Here is a 23,990-nt window from a genome sequence, read left to right on the forward strand (position 1 = left end):
TTCTCTCTCCCATCTTCAAACATTTCTTGAATGTATGCTATGTGATAGACACTGGGCTCAATTATAGGAACAAAGCCATGAACAGTAAAACACAGTCTCATTCCTAATAGCGTATAGGCTGGATAGTAAGAAATATTACATAAATAATTACATACATAATATTCTATATATAAATGTACCAATGATGGCTGGACGCGGTGGCTCACACCTGTCATCCCAGCACTTTGGGAGGCTGAGGCAGGTGGATCACCTAGGTCAGGAGTTCGAGACCAGCCTGACCAATATGATGAAACCCCATCTATACTAAAATTACAAAAATTAGCCAGGCATGGTGGAGTGCACCTGTAATTCCAGCTACTCGGGAGGCTGAGGCAGGAAAATCTCTTGAACCAGGGAGGTGGAGGTTGCAGTGAGCAGAGATCGCACCACTGCATTCCAGCCTGGGCAATAGAGCAAGACTCTGTCTCAAAAAACAAACAAACAAATAAATAAATATACCAATGATAACTACGATAAATGCAGAGTTTAGGGAGTTATATAAGCACATACCGAGGACTTAAAACTCATCATAAAGGTTTTCCCAGATGCTGATGGGTGATTTAGAATTTTCTATCTTACCCTTATATTCCTAGAGTTTTAAAAAACATATTATTCATTGCATAATTTTTAGCTTTACCATAGTTCACTGCAACTTTTTACAACTTGGTGATTTAAAAAAATATATATATTCATGTAGCCATCACCCAAATCAAGAGAGGCTTTTTCATGCTCCTCGTGATCAATACTCCTCCCATCAAATATAACCATTATATTGACTTTTATCACAAGTGGAATTGCTGAATTGTCAGGTATGGGGTGTATTTAGCTTTAGGAGATACTGCCATACAGTTGTCCAAAAGGAGTTATACCAATTTACTCTGGCTCAATTGTTGGAGGATATATGGTTTGAGAACCCCTGATTCACAATAACCTGGAGAGCTGGTGAAAAGTGAATATTCCTGGAACTTTCTCTGGAACCACTGAATCATACTCTGTGTTGAGGGGGCCCAGGAATCTGCATGATAAATTCTCCAGATACTTCTCTGGATTCAAGTTTGAGTTCCACTAGGTAAAAACTAAATAAATCTTGATGTTTTTATTTATTTATAGCCTGTATTGAAATTAATCATCTTCTCTTTAATGCATACTTACCCTTTATGTTAGGTCTGGCTGGCTTGCATTATTTGTAATGTGTTGGGCCATACATGAGTTTTTCACAAAAAGTTTTTTTTTTGAAAAAAACTTCTTGTTGCTAATGTAAGTGATTTCTTAAGCTGTATCTCATATTAGAAACAGATGTTTGTAAAAATCATTGCCTAAAGACGTTTTTGACATCCTGCAAGATCTTTTTTTGTTGTTTTATTTTTATTCTTTCTCAAAATTGATTTAGCTTTTCACCTTTTGGTATATGTTTGTGTATATTCAACCCTGAAAATACATGAGTATTGTAAAAATGCTATTTGCCCCACTTCCTTTCTGAACAGAGTATAACATATATTATTAGAAAAGAACTATTGTTTGTTTTATATCTAATACACACTGATAAAAGCAGTCAGCGTCTCCACTTCCGACTTAAATCAATATCAACTATCTGTTAATTCTTATAGATAAGGCATGTAATATATTCTAGAATTAGCTGTGATGTAGTCGAAAACAAGGAGGCTTGTATGAAAAACAATCTGGTGAAACCAATAAAATTAAAATACAAAATATCAGAAATAAATAATTCACTGGATGAATTTTCAGAAGATTGGCCACTGTAGAAGAAGAGACCATTGAACTTAAATTAATAGAAATTACACAAGCTGAAGAATATACTTTTAAACAAATAGCAAAATTGATAAAGTGGTAGAATAATAAGAGACATTTTGAAAAGGCAAAATTAGTTTTTTGAAAAATTTTAAAAATCTTAATAAATAAGACTAGTTAAGACAGAAGACAAATGTTTACTTTTGGCAATAAAAAAGACATCACTACAGATCCTATAGATATTTAAAAGTTAAAATAACTTTATAAAGAATTTTAGGCTGATACACTTGAAAACTTAGTTTAAATAGGCAATTATTTGAATATGACATCCAACCTGATCCAAAAATAAATTAAAAATATGAATAGCTCTACCTCTGATTTTTGAAAATGGGATTTTAAAATAAAGCTACTACTGCTATGTCAGAGAGTTTCTCTGGTTTTTCTATAAAATATCTAAGGGAGAAATAACATCAATTCTAGATAAATTCTTTTAGAAAATATAGCAGTACAGAATGCTTTCCAACTAGTTTTTAAAATTCCAGCCAAATCTAGATTACCAAATCTGACAAGGATATTACAAGCAAGAAAAATCACAGACCAGTATTTCTAATGAGCTCAGTTGCAAATATTCTTAAATAAATATAAGCATATTAATCCTAGCAATAATTTTAAAGGGGAATATATCACAGCCAAATTGGGGTTATTCCAGGGATGCAAGTTTTGCTTAATAGTCAAAATTTAATTAATGCAACTCCCCAAATAACAGGGGGGTTAAAAAATAGAAAAACAAAATGACCATTTCAACTGGATGAAGAAAAAGCATTTTTAAAATGTCCACATCTACCCATGATAAAATATCTCAGCAAAGACCAATAACAAGAAACTTTATTAATCTTATAAAGGGGATCTGCAAAAGAATCTTAAGCTAACATGGTACTTAACAGAGAAAAAGATAGAGTGTTTTTCCCAAAAGATTGGGAAAAAGCAATGATGTTTGTTTGCACTATTTTTATTCAACATTGTACTATAGATTTTAGCCAATGTAATAGGACAAGAATAACAGGCAAAATAAATAAAGATTAGAAAGATAAAATTAAAACTTTATTCATAGATGAAATAATCTTGTGTAGAGAAAATTCTCGGAAATCCACATACAATCTACCAGAACAAATAAGCAAATTTATTAATGTTACAGGATACAAGGTAAATATACAAAAAAAACAAATAACAAATGCATTTCTATATAATAATAGTTACCAATTAGAAAACAAAATTTTTAAATGTTATTCACAACTTCATGAAAAAGTATAAAATACTTAGGGATAAAATTTTAAGACTATGTGCAAGGCCAGAACACTGAAACTTATAAAACACATTTTTTGAGAGAAAATTGAAAATACTTAAACGAATGGAAAAATATACTATGTTGGTGGATCAGGAGACTAAATATTATGAAGATGTCATTCCTTTTCAGATAGATCTTTCAGTATTCAATTCAGTACCAGGAACTGACAAGCAGGAACTGACAAGCCAATTAAAAAAATATATATGGAAAACAGGTTTGAGAATAACCAAAAGAACAGAAAACAGGAACAAAGTTGGACGTATCACACTACCTGGTTTCAAAAATTAGTATATAGTTATAGTAATCAAGACAATAGAATTTTAGCTTAATAGAAGAGAATAGAAAGTTTAGAAATAGATCTCAACGTATGTGGTCAACTTATTTCTATAAAGATGCCAAGAGGCCGGGCACAGTGGCTCACGCCTATAATCCCAGCACTTTGGGAGGCAGAGGCAGGTGGATCACGAGGTCAGAAGATCAAGACCATCCTGGCTAACATGGTGAAACCCCGTCTCTACTAAAAATACAAAAATAATTAGCCAGGAGTGGTGGCAGGTGCCTGTAGTCCCAGCTACTTAGGAGACTGAGACAGAATGGCGTGAACCCGGGAGACGGAGCTTGCAGTAAGTAGAGATTTCACCACTGCACTCCAGCCTGGGCAACAGAGCAAGACTCTGTCTCAAAAAAAAAAAGAGAAAGATGCCAAGAAATTTAAAAGGGAAATGATAGTTTTCTCAACCCAATGCTACTGGAATAAGGATAAATCTCCATATGGAAAAATAAGATATTTCAACCTCCACTACAAAAATACATTAAAATTAACTTGAAATAAATGCTAGAACTAAGTGTAAAAGCCAAAACTGTAAGCTTCTAAGAAAAAGAAAGAGAGAGAAAGCATTTGTGACCTTGGAGTTGGAAAATATTCATTAGATGGGACATAAAAAGCATAAAGTATTTTTTAAAAGGATAAGTTGGATTTTATCTAAGTTAAAAACTTTTGCTCATCAAAAGACACTCTTAAAAATGAGAACACATTACACAGATTGGGGCAAAGAAAAAGTGCAAGACAAATATGTGATAAAGGATCATATCCAGAAAATGTAAAGAATGCCTACAAACCAACAATAGAAAGAATAACTCAATAAAAAAAAAAAACTGGCCCAAATACTTGAAGAATGACTTCTCAGAGAGGATACATGAATGTCCTATAACTGCAAAAAAAAAAAGGTATTCAACATTATTAATCATCTAGGAAATGCATATTAAAATAAAACAATAGGCTGGGCATGGTGGCTCACACCTGCATCCCAGCACTTTGGGAGGCCAAGGTGGGCAGATCACCTGAGGTCAGGAGTATGAGACCAGCCTAGCCAACATGGTGAAACCCTGTCTCTTCTAAAAATACAAGAATTATCTGGGCATGGTTGTGCGTGCCTGTAGTCCCAGCTACTCGGGAGGCTGAGGCAGGAGAATCACTTGAACCTGGGAGGTGGAGGTTGCAGTGAGTGGAGGTCGCACCACTGCACTCCAGCCTGGGCGACAGAGCAAGACTCCATCTCAAAATAAATAAATAAATAAAATTAAAATAAATAAAATAAAACGATAAACCATTTCACACCCAACAGGATAGCTGAAAGTAAAAACTGGCAATATCAAGCCTTCGTGAAAATTTGGAACAACTGATGTGACAGTTAAATTGTACAATAATTTGCAGAATTATTTTGACAGTTCATTGCATTAATCTTTTAACTCAGAAATTCCATTTCTTGAGAAATGAAACATATGCCTACCATTAGGACAAAGGATGAACCAATTGTAGTAAAATTATATAATGAAATATTACTCAGTAATACCCATGTTATAGTAAGACAATCTTCAGCATATTATTTCTTCTGTATCAGTAAATGGATGCATTATTCTAGTTTATTTCCCATTTATTCATACAACAGTACTTAAGAATCAAGTTGGTTCTTCATATATATCCCATATGGAATCTTTCAGCAATACTGCTAACAGTATTTCCAAAATACCTACTAATTCTATCTTCTTTCCATGTATATTGCTACCACTTCAGTGCCAACTGCTGTCATATCTTACCTGAATTATTATAATAATTTCATTTTGGCCTTTTTCTGTTCTCCCCAGTGATCCAGACTTTAGTCATATTCTTGCTGTTTCTCTAATATCAAGCATCTTTCTCTCATCACTCTTCAAACAGGGCATGGTTGATGTATTGCCTTTCAGACAGACCCACACCAAGCATTCCTTGAGGTTAGGACAGGAGGATACATGGAAAGCCACAGACATCATGTCCAAATGACCAGCTAACAAACTATTAAATGGAATGTATTATATCATGTTAATCTTCCAAACATAGCTTTGTAACAAAGAAATTAAATTGTACATATGTAGACCTATAGAGTTAATTTGATTTCAGGTGGGTGAAATATCAGACAAGTGAATCTAATCTAATTATTATTACACATGTGACAGTGTTCAAGATGAAGGGCTGGCAATGTTTAGGTGAGTAATAGAATAAAGGCATACATACTTTATAAATTTTTGTATAATAATTCCATAAATTTAAATTTCTTGCTTTCACTTTAGTAATATCATTCATTGTATTGTTTTAATTAATATGTTTGCATAATTTGGAGTATATTGATAGTAATGATTAGAAGAATCAAAAATAAAATTCAATTTTTTGAATTATATAGTATTTGAATATATGTGAATATACTTTCAAAATTGTAAAAAAGAATAAAAATCAGTAATAATATAGTCAGGCTTTCAAAGAGTGATTTTTCACTATTTAAAATTATCTATTAAAATTAGAAAGACAAGAAGCAAATAATGGCTAATGATCAATTTAAAATAAAAATTATATAACATTTTAAATATATTTATATAAACACTTGTGTATTTTAAATATATATTTAAATAAATATTAAATAAAACTACAACTTTTTGCAATTCTAAAGTTCAATGACCATCTAGTTACCAATATAAAGAAATGGTATAAGATTCCATGCATATTACATCTAAACCTACATACACACACACACACACACACACACACACGTATAAATACACACTCATCTATGTAATTCATATATATATGAGTTATATAGTTATGAGTTATATATTGCAAAATACCATCCTGATTCTTAATTTCTTCTAAATTTTCTAGAGCTTTTGCAAATAGCTCTCCAAAATTTAGAAGAAAAATATAGCAAGAAAATGGACCTATTGTAGTATAGGGAAATAATTCTTTTTCTATGCAGAGAATTTGGACATTTGTTTTTAACTGACAAAAATTTGTCTTTTTTCTTACCTAAGCAAGTCAGCTGCTCAAATATTTTATAGACTCCAACACGGTGTCCACTTCTGAAATCAACAATGAGCAATGCACAAATCTCCACTGTCTTTTTTTGAGGACATAGGGCCAAAAGAGATAGAGAACCCTTTTCCTAGAAACTGAATGCTGGCCGGGTGCGGTGGCTCACGCTTGTAATCCCAGCAGTTTGGGAAGCCGTGGCGGGCAGATTACCTGAGGTCAGGAGTTCGAGACCAGCCTGGCCAACATGGTGAAACCCTGTCTCTACTAAAAATACAAAAAAAAAATTAGCTGGGCATGGTGGCACACGCCTGTAATCCCAGCTACTCAGGAGGCTGAGACAGGAGAACTGCTTCAGCCCGGAAGGCAGAGGTTGCAGTGAGCCCAGTTCATGCCACTGCACTCCAGCTTGGCCTACAGAGCAAGACTGTCTCAAAAAAAAAAAAGAAAAGAAAAAGAAAAGAAACTGAATGCCATTAGTCATGAGGGTAGGAGTTTAAAATTAAAGCCCATGCTGTGCCTACAATGATAGATGCAAAGTTAGACATGCATTCATTTATTTTTGTGTGTTTTAAATAAATGCGTGTATGTATGCATATGTATTATAATATGCAGGCTCTCAAAAGCACAGAGCCTAAGGCAGGGGGTCCTCTCGCCCAGGTATAAGTTACTACAGTCAGACCACAGTACCTTCCTTAACCTTCAGTACAACTGTCACTTCTTCTGTCTCCTTGTCACTTTCTATCATTCTCTTTTATTGTCCTTATAGTACTTCTCGTGTGAAATTACCTTATAGTTTTCCCTGTTTATAATCTGACTCCATTGACTAAAATATAAGTACTCCTATGAGAGGAGACACTTTTTCTGTATTCACCAAAGTAATTATGACAACCCAAAGCTTGCCACACATTGGACTCTCACTCAGTGTTTATTGAATGAAGAAATGAATTATATTTAACTTTGATTTATTGTGCATCGGAAAGAACAACACCCCTAAAATGAATCATTCTCTCCTCATGAATATGCTCTTCCCTTTTTTCCAGTTTTCAAATGTCATTTCCCACGAATATGGCCTTTCATTCTTCTGAAATGGGTATTAGTGTGAAAGATGAAACAAACTATTGTTCCTTGAAGTAAGAGGATATGACATTGCCAGAATATGTGATGGAGGGCATGATGAACCATTTTTCTTCCTGATATAAATTGTATCACAAGATTTCCTTGTTCTTTATAAGTTCAAACTAGTGAAATATAAGAATTGCTAATTTCTTAATTTATTCTTCAAAAATATTCAAAATAGTTACCAGAGGCTGGGAACGGAGTAGGGAGTAGGGGATGAAGAGAGGTCGGCGAATGAGTATAAATATAGACCAAAGGAAGAAGTTCTAGTATTAAATAGTGGAGTAGAGTGACTATAGTTAATAAAAATGTATTATATATTTCAAAACAGATAGAAGAGAAGATTTGAAATATTCTAAAAATCATATCAATTGAAATCGTGGACATAGAGAGAAGGAGGATAGTTACCAGAGGCTGGGGAGGGGAGTGGGGAGAGGTGAGGTTGGTTAATGGGTGCAAAAAATAAAGAATGAATAAGAACTACTATTTGATACAGCATTAGGGTGACTAAAGTTAATAATATAATAACTTAGTTGTATATTTGAAAATAACTTGAATGTAATTGGATTATTTGTAACTCAAAGGAAAAATGCTTGAGGGGAAGAATACCCCATTCTTTGTGATGTTCTTATTTCACATTGCATGCCTGTATAAAAACATCACATATACCTCATAAACATATACACCTACTATGTATCCACAAAAATTAAAAAATAAAAAATAAATTTAAAAAATGAATGATAAATATATGAGGTGATGAGTAACCTAAGTACCTTGATTTAATTATTACATAATATATTGTGTGCATGTATCAAAATATCCCATGTATACCATAAATATGTATAATTATTATCAATTAAAAATATTTAAAAACTAAAAAATACCAATTTTGTTTCTCTAAGACATCAAAAAGTTCTTAGAGCAATACAGTAAATTTCAGGGAGACCACAGACTCCAAGTCTGTGATCATTTGAATAAGCACAGCCCAAAATTTATCTTTGTGTTTATCTGTTGAATAGGAGGTTGCTAAAAATGTAACAATGTCAGGAGTATTTCAAATAGGAGATTTTGGAAAAGCAGCTGATTTCACTTGCTCAATAGCTATTTGTACAGCAAGATAATATGCTAACTTCTATGTTTCTTATCTATTTCCAATGCATATCTGTCCAGGACACATCTGGAAAATTTAATCATTAGTCCCTGTTACTGTTTGTGTCTGAGAGTAATAATAAGTTTAAGTAAGAAAGTCCTGCCATATAATCTAAGTCATAAATTTAACTTTGCTATTTACACACACATGTACACACATGCACAAGAGAAGTGAGGTTTCATTGAGTGCACGTAAACAATGACTATTCACCTCCTCAAGCATTTTTTACATGTGCAAGAAAATCTGTAATTTCCAGAAAAAATGGGAGCCGAGCCTTTGAGATATTACCTTTCAGCTTTTCAAGTTAGTTAGGTGGGTAAAAAGAATAAGATTAAAAGAAGAGCTCTAACATTCTTAAAGTATACAGATAAAATACATGCATACAAATATATATACAAACATACACATAAATAATTGTTTTCAGCTTTGCTAATAATAATTTTTGTAAAATTATGACAGTATTTCTCAAGAATAGACCCCATATCTGAAGGCAAAAAAATACATTTAAGATCCTGGTGTAAAGTAGTTGATAAAAATTGTAACGTAAATGGGCACGGCCATGTGCAGTGGTACACGCCTGTAATCCCAGCACTTTGAGAGGCTAAAGCAGGCGGATCACTTGAGGCCAGGGGTTCAAGGCCAGCCTGGCCAACATGGTGAAACCCCTGTCACCAAAAATACAAAAATTAGCCAGACATGGTGGCGCATGCCTGTAATTCCAGCTACTTGGGAGGCTGAGGCAGGAGGATCACTTGAACCCCGGAGGCAGAGGTTGCAGTGAGCCGAGATTGCACCACGGCACTCCAGCCTGGGCAATAGAGTGAGACTCTGTCTCCAAAAACAAAACAAAACAAAACAAAAACCCAAGAACAAATAAGTAGGCACATGCCTATGCTAAAATTTTAATCTTCCTGAAAGCAAAATGTAGTTTACTGAAAACTGAATTTGAAATATCTGGCAGCAGTCTCATATATTTGTTGTTGAATTTGATGAAATGATATCACACCACCCATTTTCACATCCTTTAGTTTTATATCCACTACCCCAATGCATTCATAAACACATGATTAGAAAAAAGTTCAACCAAATACATTATTTACAACTTTTATTTCCCTGGCCCACCATAAACAAAGTGTAACAAAGGGGCCAAATTTACTCATTTCTCTATGCCTTCCCTTTAGAGCTGTTCAATCAAACATTCACCAAACATTGAGAATGTTGTGACAAATATAGTGCCAAATGCTAAAGAAACAAAATCGACATCTTTCCTGATTTTAAGGAGCTCACATTATAGTGGGCTAAATAAGTACTTCAACAAATAATAAGGCTGGACATGGTGGCTCATGCGTATAATCCCAGCAGTTTGGGAGGCCAAGGCGGGTGGATCACTTGAGGCCAGGAGATCAAGACCAGCCTGGCCAACATGGCAAAACCCCGTCTCTACTAAAGATACAAAAATTATCTGGACATGGTGGTGGGCGCCTGTACTCCCAGCTGAGGCAGAGAATCGCTTTTACCCGAGAGGCAGAGGTTGCAGTGAGCAGAGATCATGCCGCTGCACTCCAGGCTCGGTGACAAAGCAAGACTCCATCTCAAAATTGTAATAATAATAATAATAATAATAATAAATATTTAGTATAATAAATGTTTCATTAAAGTAGATAAGATGGAAAGTGACTGGCACTTTGCCTAAATGAGTTCACCAATTTCAGTCATTTGGATACCATCTTCCTGATATTTGCTCTTTTTGAATATATGAACTATAATTTAACATTCTTTCCATATATTGACCCATCATTTTGTATTTTCTATCATAAAAGAAATATTGTATAACACCTGTGTGTGAAAACATATCAATTGCCACAAAAAAAGTGACTTTAAAAATAATCTCAGTGCAAGCAGTGTTATAGAGTTCTGGCTAAATGCTGTCACCTGCCCAGGCTCTGAATTTGAGATCTTCTTCCTCTGGGTTAAAGAAGAGAGTTTAGCAATGCCAGGGAATTTTGAAAGACTCCTGTCACCAGACTGAGGCTTCTGCCTGATTTGATCAGAAGTTTGAAAGAAATTGAAAAGGGAATCATTGTCTCACAATGTAATTCACAACTATTTTTGTTTTCAGTTTGTTCTCTCTGTTTTTGTGTTTCTCTGTTTGAATTTTTCTATCTTCCTGTAGTAACTGAACATTTCCTAAAATCTCATTTTCATTCATCTACACTGTTTTTGAATGTATTTTTTATACACAAAATAGTGCAATTTTTAAGTGGTTGATCTGTGTATTACTATATATATATAATATATATTTATATACACACACACATGAATTTATCACAGTCTACTTGTGTCATCATTTTACATCCTGTGAAATTATACCTTTATTTACCTTTAATTCCCCAATTTATAAAATAATTTCCTTAAATATTTCCTTTGTATACATTTAGAACCACAGCAGAGAGTTTTATAATTTTTGCTTCAACCAGCATAATTTAGAAATCATACTTTAGAAAATTCAAGAGGAGAAGAAAAATCTATTGTAGTTACATATAGTTTTGCTAACAGTGTTCTTTCTCCCTTCCAAGGTTTCTTCTCTTTTGGCTTGTTTTTGTTTAGATACCATCCTTTAGTCATTCTTCTTCTGCAGGTCTACTGGTGACAAATTCTCTTATTCTTCTTCGTCTGAGAATGTATTGATTTCCCACTTCATTTCTGAAAGACATATTCAGAATTTCTTGGTACTTGAAGAACATTGTGCCATGGCTTTGTCACCTCCATGCTTTCTAATGAGAATTCCGCTCCACTGTCATTCAAATTCTATTTTCCCTATAGGAAAGTTGTCATTTTTCTCTGACTGCTTTCAAGATTTGCTTGTCTTTAGTTCCCAGAGGTTTAATTACAATGTGTCTAGGCATGGATTTCTCAGAGTTTATTCTATTTGGCGTTTGTTTCTTGAGTCTATTGGTTTATGTCTTGGCAAATTTGGGAAGTTTCTTTTAGTACTTCTTAAATAATGCCCTCTTTTTCCTTTTTTTCTGAAACTCCAGGGATGCCAGTATTATCTTTTGCTATTGTCCCACAGACCCTTGAGACTCCATGTTCATTTTCTTTTCAGTCTATTTTCTATGTATTTATTGTTCAGATTAGGTAATGTCTAATGTTCTTTCCTCCAGTTTACTGATTCTTTTCCTCTGTCTCCTATATTCTGTTGCAGAACACATCCACTGATACTTTACAGACAATTCCTGTCTCGGATTTTTTGATTAAATTGTGCCAAAATGATGCACATTCAATATGCTCCTCCACTTACAAAGGGGCTAGGTTCTGATAAACCATTCCCAAGCTGACTTACGATAGGTTTATTGGTATGTGACCCTATCATAAAGTGAGGACATTTGGAATTTATTATATATGTCAATTTTAATATCAATTTTAATATTACTTTGGTTCTTCTTTATCTAATCAGTTTCTTTGCTGAGGATTTCACTTTCTATCTCAAGCATATTTATCATTGTTCATTGAAACATTTTTATGATAGCTGCTTTAACATCTGTCAGATAGTTCTATCATCTGTGTAATCTCTATCTTGGCCTCTATTAGTTGTCTTTTTTCACTTGGTTTCAGATCTTCCTGATTCTCAGTATGCCCCGTGATTTCGTATTAGAATCTGAAAATGTCTGTATTATAAGACTCTGGATTTCATTTGAAGCGTTGGTTTTACCTGGCATTTTCTGATACCACCCTGGCTGCAGAAGAGGAGTGGCACATGGTTACTTCCAGGTGGAGATAGAAATCCATTTTCCTCACTCAGCCTCACACATAAGAAGGAGGATTCCTCATGACTGCTGGTCGGAGGTGAGGATTCCTGATTCCCATCTGGCCTCCACTGACACCACTATGGTAGTGGCCATGAGGGACCACTAGGTGATAGTGGAAATCTTGACTCTTTACTAGGCCTCATGTGACACCACCTCAGTGGCTAAGCAGCAAGATGCCTCATGACTGTGGTGTGCAAGTGGATCCATGTTCCCCAGGAGTTTCCACTGACAATCCCTACCCAGCACTCTCTGACCCCACACTGGTGGAGCTGCTGGGTAACTCATTACAGCATCACAAGTGTGGAAGTTTTAATTTCCCACTTGGCCTTTGCTGATGTGAGTGGAGGAAGTTTCCAGAGGGGTGTTCAATCTTTTGGCTTCCTGGGGCCACACTGGAAGAGGAAGAATTGTCTTGGGCCACTCATAAAATACACTAACACTAACGACAGCTGATGAACTAAATAAAATCACCCCAAAAATCTCATAATGTTTTAAGAAAGTTTACGAATTTGTGTTGGGCCACATTCAAAGCTATCCTGGGGCACATGAGACCCACAGGCCACAGGCTGGACAAGCTTACTATATTCTATAGTAAAAGTAATCTTACCTATTTAAGGGGGAAGTACTCATTTAGAAAAAGATTCATTAAAAGGAAAGTAGGTCGAAATGACATACTACTTTAAAAGATATCATGAATGAGAGTAAATAATATTAAAGAATTTAGACAAATACACTCAAAGCTGATGTGTGAACTAATGGTGCTTGAAATAATTATAAGTTGGAATGGGGCTGTACTAGGAGGCAGAACTGAGTAACTTACATCATTTCTGTGGCCAACTGAATCAGAAAAACAAATTGGAGATAATTCTACTTGACCACCTGTAGCAATCATAAGCTGTTATGCTGTAAAAACACAATCTCAGTGGCTCAAAGCAGTGCAGGTTTATTTCTCACTTGCTTATGTTCCGCTGTATATCTATCTGGAAGACTCTCCAAGGGAGATGTCTTTCATAAGGTGGCTCAGCTTTGTATCTCCATTTCAACACCAGCTACCACCACATGTCATCAAGCTAAGAGAACGCTATCAATTAATCATTAAATACTCACCTCCCAGGAGCAGTCATATTTACTTAAATGTCACTGACTAAAAGGAGGTACATGACCTGACTCAAGAGGCATGAAATTGTAATCCCTTTCTGCGGCTAAAAGGAAGAGAACCATACATATTGGTGAGCATCATCAATATCTACCACACTAACCTTCCTTGCTGGACCATTGTAAAGGGTAAAAATGAATAATGTATTTAATTCCCTCTGCCTAGTTACTGAAACAGGATTTATTCCAGTATATACAGGTATATGATTAGAGAAGACAAATCATCTTTTGCTCCTGGAGGTGAATCTCAATTAGTCTTCCAATAATGGTAATTAATTCCTCTGGCTTCAGTAGTGAAGGACTTCTGCTGTACGTTTCTAGAAAATATTCATTGCCTTTAATGAGGAACTTAGAGACAAGATATATCCTCTTTTCCCCTTCGTCCTTTCTGACTCGGTTATAGGAAGACATGAAGGTGGAAGTCGCAGGATTCACCTTGTGATTACAGGAGAGGAGCTAGAGGACAAAGTCCACCATGCTCAGAGAGGTAGAGTAAAGAGCTGTTAAAAACCTGAATCCTTGGTGGTGGTGTTGAACCGCTGACCCTGTATATTGGCTATGCTGCTACATGAGATCACAAATTTTCTTTGATGTTTGAGTCTCTTCTAGCTGAGCCTTCTCTTATTTTGGACAGAGTTTGGGGAACATCTTGTGAATTATTCTAAATATATAAAAAGAGTTATTATACAAGCCATTAAATATGTTTGCCTAGTATGAAAAGGTTTTTGAAATGACATCCGGAAGTATATTATTTTCTCAATTTTGCCTCCAATAATAAAAAGAAAATGGCAGCATAGCCCCATCTCCCCATCTTTAGGGCTGTGATAATTTCCCGTACCAAAGCTAAACAGTTTCATGGAACTAGATGGTTCTTAGTAAAGGAAAGTCCGTGGATGCTTCTGCTTTTATGAACTGTGTGAATCTAGAGAAATTCTGTTACAGAGGCCAGTTGTTGACTGATTAGCAAGTGGTAACATCACTGTGTTAAGAAAGGGGTGGATTGTTTTATGAAGATCCCCAAGGCCTGAATCTTTTGGCACCACTAACTGCTGGTGCTCCTCCCTCAAACATTAGCTTTAGCCTTTGGAAGATTGATACTCCCAGTGGGTGAGCATTGACGTACAGCCAAGATAGTGTGTGAAGTCAGTAATGCACTTTTAAACATTTTGGAATTTAGCTTCAAAGCTGAAGCCTCAATTAGAGAGATTAAAGGTAACTGAAACATGATTTAAGTCATCCTTCCCTACACTCTTCTAGTATAAGCAGAGCCATTCTCATGTCAGGCTCTTTGAAAATCCACTCAGAGAAGCGTTAATCAATTCAGTTATTTATTGGTCATTTATTAGGTAGAATGCTGGGCCTTTTAAACAAAATAAAGTTAATGAGACTTGGTCCTGGTCTTCAGGGAAGTCACAAACAGCTCATCAAGGAATGTAGAAAATAAGGGCAAATAATACAAGAAGAGAAATGACAAGGGTTTCAGGAGTGAAGTAAATAAGGAAAGAAGAGGTTTAAAATCTAGGAGTGATGTGCTTGGGGGAATTACAAATGTTTGTGCAGAAAGTGACCTTGAGATGGGTCATGAAGAAATGAATGGATTTAAACCTAAGAAGCCACAGTCACGGAGAAATTTATCATTGCAACGTAATTTAGAACAAGAGATTTGTGTTTGAACCAACATGGATTTGCAAACTTTGCTCTCTAAGAAACGAGTTAATCACATTGAGTCTGTTTCTTCACTTTAAAATGGGTATAATAATCCGGGCACAGTGGCTCACGCCCGTAATCCCAGCACTTTGGGAGGCCGAGAAGGATGGATCACGAGGTCAGGAGATCAAGACCAACCTGGCTAACACAGTGAAACCCCGTCTCTACTAAAAATACAAAAAAAATTAGCCAGGCATGGTGGCGCCCGCCTGTAGTCCCACCTACTCAGGAGGCTGAGGCAGGAGAATGGCGTGAACCCGAGAGGCAGAGCTTGCAGTGAGCCGAGATCGCGCGACTGCACTCCAGCCTGGGCGACAGAGCGAGACTGTCTCAAAAATAAATAAATAAATAAATAAAAATTAAAAATGGGTATGATAATACCTTATAAACTTAATTAAAAAGTAAATTCTATGCGTCATGTAAAGGTACTAGTGTCTGACCTACCCTTTATTTTAAAAATAGTAACTATTACCATTATTTGCATCTAGCTTCTCAGAAAAGGTGACATTGAGATGAACTCTTAAAGAATTACAGCAGATGGAAGTGTGGGTAAAATATATTATAGATGACTGAACAATAAAACTGAAGACCTTTTGGTTGGGTACACAGAAGAAAAGGGTAAAATGCAAGTGTGACTCTAAGAATGGGATCTGGGAATACCAAAGTTGCAATCAAGGTGCCATAATGTAGTTTAGTGAGCTGGTTATATCTGCATCATATAACTATATAGCACAGACAATGATAAAAAAAAAAGTGTCAACCTAAACAATCTAACAGTGAGATACAAGAGAAAAGCTATATAGCTGCTCAGCATCACTAGAGAAACCTTCTTATTTTGATTTAATTTTCTAAGAATCTCCAATATAGAAGAGAATTCAGAGCTTTATGAATGTAAACATTTGGGTCTGTTTCCAGAGATATTTGTGGACATTATAGTTGTATGTTAGGTGCTGTGCTGCAAATGTATGACACACATGCTGAGACCTCCTTCACCCACTGACTCTAGCTCCACCCAAGTACACACAGACAGCATGACAACATACTCCTAGTGGGTTTTGCCTGACACACATGCTGAGACCTCCTTCTTCACCTACCTACTCTAGCTCCTCCCAAGTACACATAGACAGCATTACTACATACTCCTAGTGGGTTACATCTCACTGTAGACTTGAATCTCATTGTAGACTTGTATCTTTCCGTACACAGCATGCTAAGTGACCTGTAGCACTGAGTTGAAGATGAAACTAGTTGCACATCTGTTTTAGTCTCTTGTTAATTTGTTGGATCTTGAATGTATGGAGAAATGGCAAAATTAAAATTTTTGAGCTGTGGAACTGAAGGCTGGGCAGAAAGATGTGATAGAAGAAGGCAGGAGGGATGAGGCAGAGAGAGAGCTTAGAGACACCTGAAGCTTAACCTGATTTGCCGTTGCTGACTTTGAAGATGGTGGTAAGGGGCCATAAGCCAAAGAGTGTGTGTCACCCCTGAAAGAAGAGAATGGTCCCCAGCTGACAATTGTCAAGATCATGGGAACCTCTTAGTTCTACAACTACATGTATTCTGCCAACACGGTGAATTAATTTGGAAGTGAACTTATCTACAGAGTTTCCAGAAAGGATCACAGCCCTGCTGATACCTTGAAATCAGCCTTGTGAGACTCTGAGGAAAGAACCAGCTAACCCATACTATACCCAAATTTTGACCACCAGAAACTGAAATAATAAATTTGCATTCTTTTAAACTTATGAGTTTGTGGTTATTTGTTACAGCCGCAAAAGAAAACTAACCTACAATTGAATAATTCCCTAGGAAATTTGTCTTGACAAGTGAGTACCATGAGAAAATACCCTATCTCAGTGTCTTCAAACCACAACAAGCAACAGAGTACTCACTGAACACGCAGACAGGCAGAAAGCTTGAGTTTCCTCCAGTACAAAGTAAGGATTAATATACATGGAAATTAGGTTTCTGAACTCATGGGGCATAGAGGGCCTCTCTGTACCCGAAGCATGATAGCATGTGAATACAGCTGCAATTTCCTGGTCTAAACTTCCCAGTGTCAGCTCTGAAGGAATGGAAAGCAGGAATCAATCAAAGGAAATAGAAAATCTAATTAGCAAGATTAATCAAGATAACTCACAGCTGGTTTTCTGCTCTGTATAGTCATAGATAATAAGGATACAATGCATAAAACTACAGCTATATTCCCACATTCATGAGAATTATTACATAACAGGTGTTTCCCAGTCAGGGGAAACAAGAGTGTAGAGGGTGGGATGGGGCGAAAAGAGCTAGGAATAATAATTTTGTGGCTTCTTTCTACTGGCTAGATGGCTAGATTGCAAGAACTCCAGCTGGCTTCCTCTTCTTGCCACTCACCCACAGTTCTAGTACTTTCTGCTTCTGTCAGATGACTAAGGAATTGAGACCAATACATTTCACTTTCACGTTGATGCTAGCATTAAACAAGTGATATCATGCACATATTGTCTGGCTTATACAATGTGGCTATTCCTCATCCTCCTTCTCTGCCCCTTCCTATCCTCCTCCCTCATACTCCTCCTTCTTCTTCTTTCCATCACATTTGTTGACCACCTACCACATGCCAGACATGTTGTGGACATTATCTCAATGTTGACAAAAGCACCCTATAAGGTAGGTAGCATGACTATCCCATTTTACAGATGAAGGTGCTAAGAATTATACAGGTTAAATAGCTCGCCCGAGGTCTGAACCTGGGAAGTGATGCTGGATCTCTAGAAGACTGACTTCAGCCTCCATGTGTTTTATCACACACTATAGGTTTTTCCTGTTACAGGTACCCTGAATCCTCTGTCAAGTGGCATCCTACAGCTGTTCTGCTTTTGGCCTAACCCTGGATAACACGCTTAGAAAGTGGCACAACCTTGAGTTGCAGAAAGTGAAAGGTACCTTGAGCCCCTGTTCAGGTGCTGAATCATAGCCTCCTAACATATGCTTTTGTCTGCACCAGTGTGGGACCCGGATATCTCACTCTTCCCACAAGCAGGTCTTTAGGTTCCCAGAGGCCCAGGGGTCCACTCCATGTCTGCCTTTTACCCACCATTCTGAACCTGGGGCTCTGCTTGGCATCCCTTATTCTCTCTACCTGGCTTCCTTCTCCTGCCTCTTCAAAGGGACTGTCTCTGGATGCTGCCTGCAAAAGGACTCCTGGCGCTTGATCCTAAGGCTTACGTCTCTCCTCTGCCGCCTCACTCAGCCTACCTAGCCCAGCAACTTAGAAACAGAGCTTCTGTCCAATTCTTATTTTCTGGGCTCACAGCTTGTTGAGAAGATGGTGAACAGCCCTTGACCATGCCAACCGTTCTCAGCACCATACCACAGGCTTTCACTACAGCGGTCCTACTTCTCCATCCTGACTCCTTGGGTGATTTTAATTTACTCTAATTAGATCCTAAACCAAGTATCCTTATTTTAAAACTAGCTTAGCTGCTTCTCCACACTTCAGGTGTATCTCTGGAAATACATTCATTGAGTTTTATCGCTATCGACCTCCTAGGGTTCTCTCCCTCACTCACACTTCCCTCACCCAGAGAAAGCATTTTATTTTCTGCAACCAACTCACATGCCCAGATTGGAGTTTCATTCCACTTGGTCTGCATTTCAGCACTTCCTTTTTTAACCTAATCTGAGGCTTTAAAGCAACCATTTGTTTAAAAAGCAGCAAATAAATATGGTAAAAAGTTAAAACCAGACAAAGGGGTTTTAATGAATAGCATACTTCCCACTCCATTTGGCCAAAGAAGCCACTTTGAACTGTTTCTGCTCTCCGTGCTCATACGGGTATTGTGTTTGTGTGTGTACGCATATATACACATTCATGTATATTCTTTTATTTTAAATACATGAAGCACATTATACACAATATACAATATTTTGTGTTTTTTTTCTCTGTGTTGGAGCTATTGTCTTATTAGCATATGCAGAAAGCTCTACCTCATTTTTTAACAGCCATCTAAAGATCATTATTTACCTAGCTGTACCCTAGTTTTTTCAATAGATCCCATATTAATGGATATTTAAGTTGTTTGTTGCTTTTTTGCTATGATATCATTATTTTAGTAAATATATTTTATATATATATAATGTGTGTGTATATATATGTATATACATATAATGTCTCCAATCAGTGTTTCAATTTCCTTTCTCTCTATTCCCTTTATATTATACGCTTATGTAATTACATTTAGTTCTTTTTTTTTTTTTTTTTGAGACAACATCTTTTTCTGTCACCCACGCTAGAGTGCAGTGGCACCATCATGGCTCACTGCAGCTTCGACCTCCCAGGCTCAAGCAATTCTCCCACCTCAGCCTCCTGAGTAGCTGGGACGACAGGTGCATGCCACCATGCCCAGCTAATTTTTATTTTTATTTTTTTTCTTTTTCAAAATGGGGTCTCACAACATTGCCTAGGTTGGTCTCAAACTCCTGGGCTCAAGCAGTCCTCCTTCCTGGGTCTCTTAAAGTGCTGGGATTACAGGTGTGAGCCACCATGCCCACCCTATTTATTTCTTAACTCATTTATTGATGATCTGCTTTCTCCACTAAACTATAATCTCCTTAAAGGCAGGAACCTCATTTTTCTGTCATTGCTATATTCCTGGAAACCCAAATAGTGTCTGGAGTATAGGATATATTAAGTTAGTTTTTTGAATAAATGAATCAATGAAGAAAGACATTCTTATATATTATTTAGAGTATACCCGTGGGATAAAGTCCTATAAGCGGGGATGTGAATTTAAAACATTTCCTGGTATTGCCACGTGTCCCTTAAGAGAGGCTGTGCCAATGTATAGTTTACCATGAATGCTGGAGAAGGCTTGTTTTCAGTCATCTTTTTCAACCCTTATGTGACACTGAGCAGGAGAATAGGGTCTGTGGGCAGGGAACATAAGGCCAATTCATGCTGACTTACTAGAACTAAATCAAATGGAAACACTTCAGCTATGACAGGAAATATCCTCTCCATTTACACAGGGTGTACACCGAGTAAATGACTTGGTAACTTTACTTCATCCTTTTCATTTACATAGGGCATACACCAAGTAACCGATGGAAACCTCTAGAGGGTATTTAGACCCCAGGAAATTCTGTAACCGGGCTTGTGAGCCCCTACGCTGAGGCCTGCTCCCACCTTATGGAGTGTACTTTCATTTTCAATAAATCTCTGCTTTTGTTGCTTCATTCTTTCCTTGCTTTGTTTGTGCATTTTGTCCAGTTCTTTGTTCAAGACGCCAAGAACCTGGACACCTTCAACTGGTAACATATTTTGGTGAGCCTTCAACCAGTAACAACACTTTTTGATCTTTGCCAATCCTACAGGCAGTTCTGTGCTAAATATTATAGGGTCAGAAACTTTTTCCCACCCACTAACCAAGTCCTTTACCTCTAGCACTTCAAATCCCTATTCACAACTTCCCTCGCCTCACAGATGCTCCTTGGCCTCCCCCCCGGGACTATGGTGCTCATCCTGGTGACCCAGTAGCCTGCTAGATGACAGACTCAGGGCTGGTGGCCACACAGGCCTGGAAGCAGGCTCTGGCCTTTGGGGCAGGGAACCCCAGGGTCCCTCATTCAGAGCGTGATCTAAAAGGTTGTGTGTGTGTGTGTGTGTATGTGTGTGTGTGTGTGTGTGTGTGTGTTGTGTGTCCCCTGGGTGAGCACATCGCCTGGAGGTAGCCAAAAACAGGGATCCTACTTGCCCAAGTCTAATTTCAATACTACTAATATTGGAAAGTGTTTTAGGTTCTTTCCTCAAAGCTGAGGTGAACATTTTTCATATATATGTCTTTCTTTTGAAATAAATCACTGAGCACCAAGCCTAGTTCCCTCACAGCTCCTAACAAGAAACAAAACAGTAATGTTTACAGACATTGAAAACACTGGAGAGAATGAAGGAAATGTCTTCTTTAATATGAACATTACTATACTTTTTAAAGCCAGTAAGTTCAGAAAAAATCCAAATGAATTAGTGTGCTACTACTTTGTAGGTAATTAATATATGGGACCTCTTATCCCAAGGGTACAGTTTGATAATACAAAATGCTATATATTCCTCTCAACTGAGGGGCTGTATTCCCAAACATATTGTTGCAAAACAAATTGCTGTTAAAAAATTATATAATTTTAAGATAAAGCAATGATTAGTAAATAGAAACATAATTGCAACTATCAAAGAAAGCCCTTATATATTTCATGTATGTCAAAATAAAAAGGATACATTTTCAATACATTACCTAATAAAATTGTCAATGACATTTTGCCCATCTTAAATTAGGAATGTTGGACAATATAAAATTTATTTTCATGTATTATGCTTTACTTTGAAGAAACTTTTCTATTTCCTTCTCCTACAGTTTTAATGAGATGGTTGTAAATTTGGTACATTTTGTAGGGAAAAGAAAACATCCAGTACTTCTCAAACTATTCGTGGAAAAGGTCATTTTTATCCACAAATCAATCCTTAACCAATATTTTTGTAAAACAAAAGAACGAATCACTAGAAATGTAAAATATAAAAGGTACAAAACAACAAAGAAAAAGACATACAAATTATGTCAATATGTTTTATAATCAAAAGAAACAAACTGTTATATATATATTTTTTCTTTCTTTTTATAAGAGCACAAATCCACTTTTACTTGTTGACTTTTCACTAGTTTAAATCCTTGAGGGGTACAGTGTCACTTGGATTCTGTGTCCAATAGCCTAAGCAGGAAGATTGCTTCGGAATATGGCACTAACCATGCCACTGTTTCCATGGGCCTGAGTTACCTTTCCCCAGATTACTCTGGTTTTGTTTGGTTTGCTGCCAGGAGTCACTGTGTTGTTCTTTGCTTTGTATACATAGTACATCTCTTGCCCAAATAGAATTCTGTTTCATCTCAGGCATAAACACCTTCAATTTTAAGAAGAGATGTGTGCACCCTTTGGTTCTGGAGACCCCACTTATAGACAGCAAAAATGGCCTTGGACCACAGGCTTCCAGATAATATTTCCTTTTAGAAGTCCTGTTCCCAGCAGGCCTCCACAGGATCCAAGATGGCAGAAAGAGGAAGACGAGCTATTAATTTTCTTAAAGCTTATTCTCAATGTCTATTCTCCTCCAGCAGACAGATAACAAACCTTTAGAAATCAGTTCTGATCTACAGAGCATAGGCATATCTTCCAGAGCTTGATTCCTTGTCCATATATTCCATTCCTTTTAGACTTTCTATAAAGTTTCGACTGTCACTTTTGGGACCCTGTTTAAATTCTTTCTTTATTCGTCCTAGAAAATCAAAGTAACTTGTGATAGATAAACCTTTGGATGACCTTGATTTAAACCAATAGCTGGAATTTAGTTGGTAAATGCTTTTCCCCATTTTGACTCTGCTGACCAGCAGATTTTGGAAAGCCACAGAGCACACGTCGCAGCCCTATCAGGCTCCCTCCATTCATACCCAGTTCATCTTCCCAGACAGGCTCTCAATGGCATTTCTAGGACTCAGGACAATTTTTATTTAATTTCCTTTATTTTTCCCAAAGTTGAAATGTAAAACTGTTACCCCCGCTCTTCTATTCTCTTTCCCTCCATTTTTCTCTCTCCAATATTTTATTCTCATTTTTTTCTAATGCTCTACAAGAAAAGCAACATAAAAATTAGTACCTAGTGAACACAAAACTCTCCCAGTTGAAGATGTAAACTGATGAAAACCTCTATAAATGAGAATCTTAAGTAAAGGAGGAACTCATAGTTAGCAAAATTAATTACCTAAAATTAACTTTAGATATAAAACATTTTCACTAAAATTTGTGGAAGAGAGATCTTCAATGGACTGTAACAAAAATCCCATGTCTGAAGAACTTTCCTAAAGCTTTAGTGTTTTAATCGGGTAACTAGGCATGTCTACACTAGCTAAATGGGTCTTAGGTGTGATATGATTTATCAATCTTGTTTTTATAGATAGGTAAAAGTTAACTTTTAAGCTCTTTACAACTGCACAGCCAGCAGTAAGTTCTCCCTTGGAGATATTCAGTAGAAAGCGCTATTGGAGGATCAAAGCCTCCCTGCTCTGAGGCTAGTTTGGGCGATAACAATCGGTGTGAACTTTATCACACCACTTCGTTTGGAGCTTCTGACTTGCCGTTTGTTAAATAAAGACAGTAAAACCTTTCAGGGAGGAGTGCAGATCAAATGAAGTGGTATGGTTGAAATTTAAAAGCAAAATCACCTCCCTGCAATGAAACCGTCACTAGTGACTAACGACTTCATGAGAATTTAATCTGAGCTTTTCATTGAGCATATGCTGTCTGCCAGGCTTTGTTCTAAGTGCTTTACACGCATTAACTCCTGTGATTTTCAGAACGACATGATAAGGCAGGTACTATATTCATTCTCATTTTGCATTTGAGCCAACCAAAGAACATTGAATGCCAAAATCGATTAAATCATTGACTCAGGGACACATGCCTAGGGAGTCAGAGTGCTGGGATTTGAACTAAAGGAAGTTCATAGTTAATATTTTTAACACTATGCTATGCGTAGCCCTGGAGATTCAT

At 36.7% G+C, this 23,990-nt stretch overlaps 1 pseudogene; it reads right to left on the reverse strand.

Annotated features, from left to right (window-relative positions):
* RPL35AP19 (ribosomal protein L35a pseudogene 19) lies at positions 22,066 to 22,503 on the reverse strand (annotated as a pseudogene).

This window comes from Homo sapiens, chromosome 8, assembly GCF_000001405.40.
Source record: "Homo sapiens chromosome 8, GRCh38.p14 Primary Assembly".
NCBI lineage: Eukaryota > Metazoa > Chordata > Mammalia > Primates > Hominidae > Homo > Homo sapiens.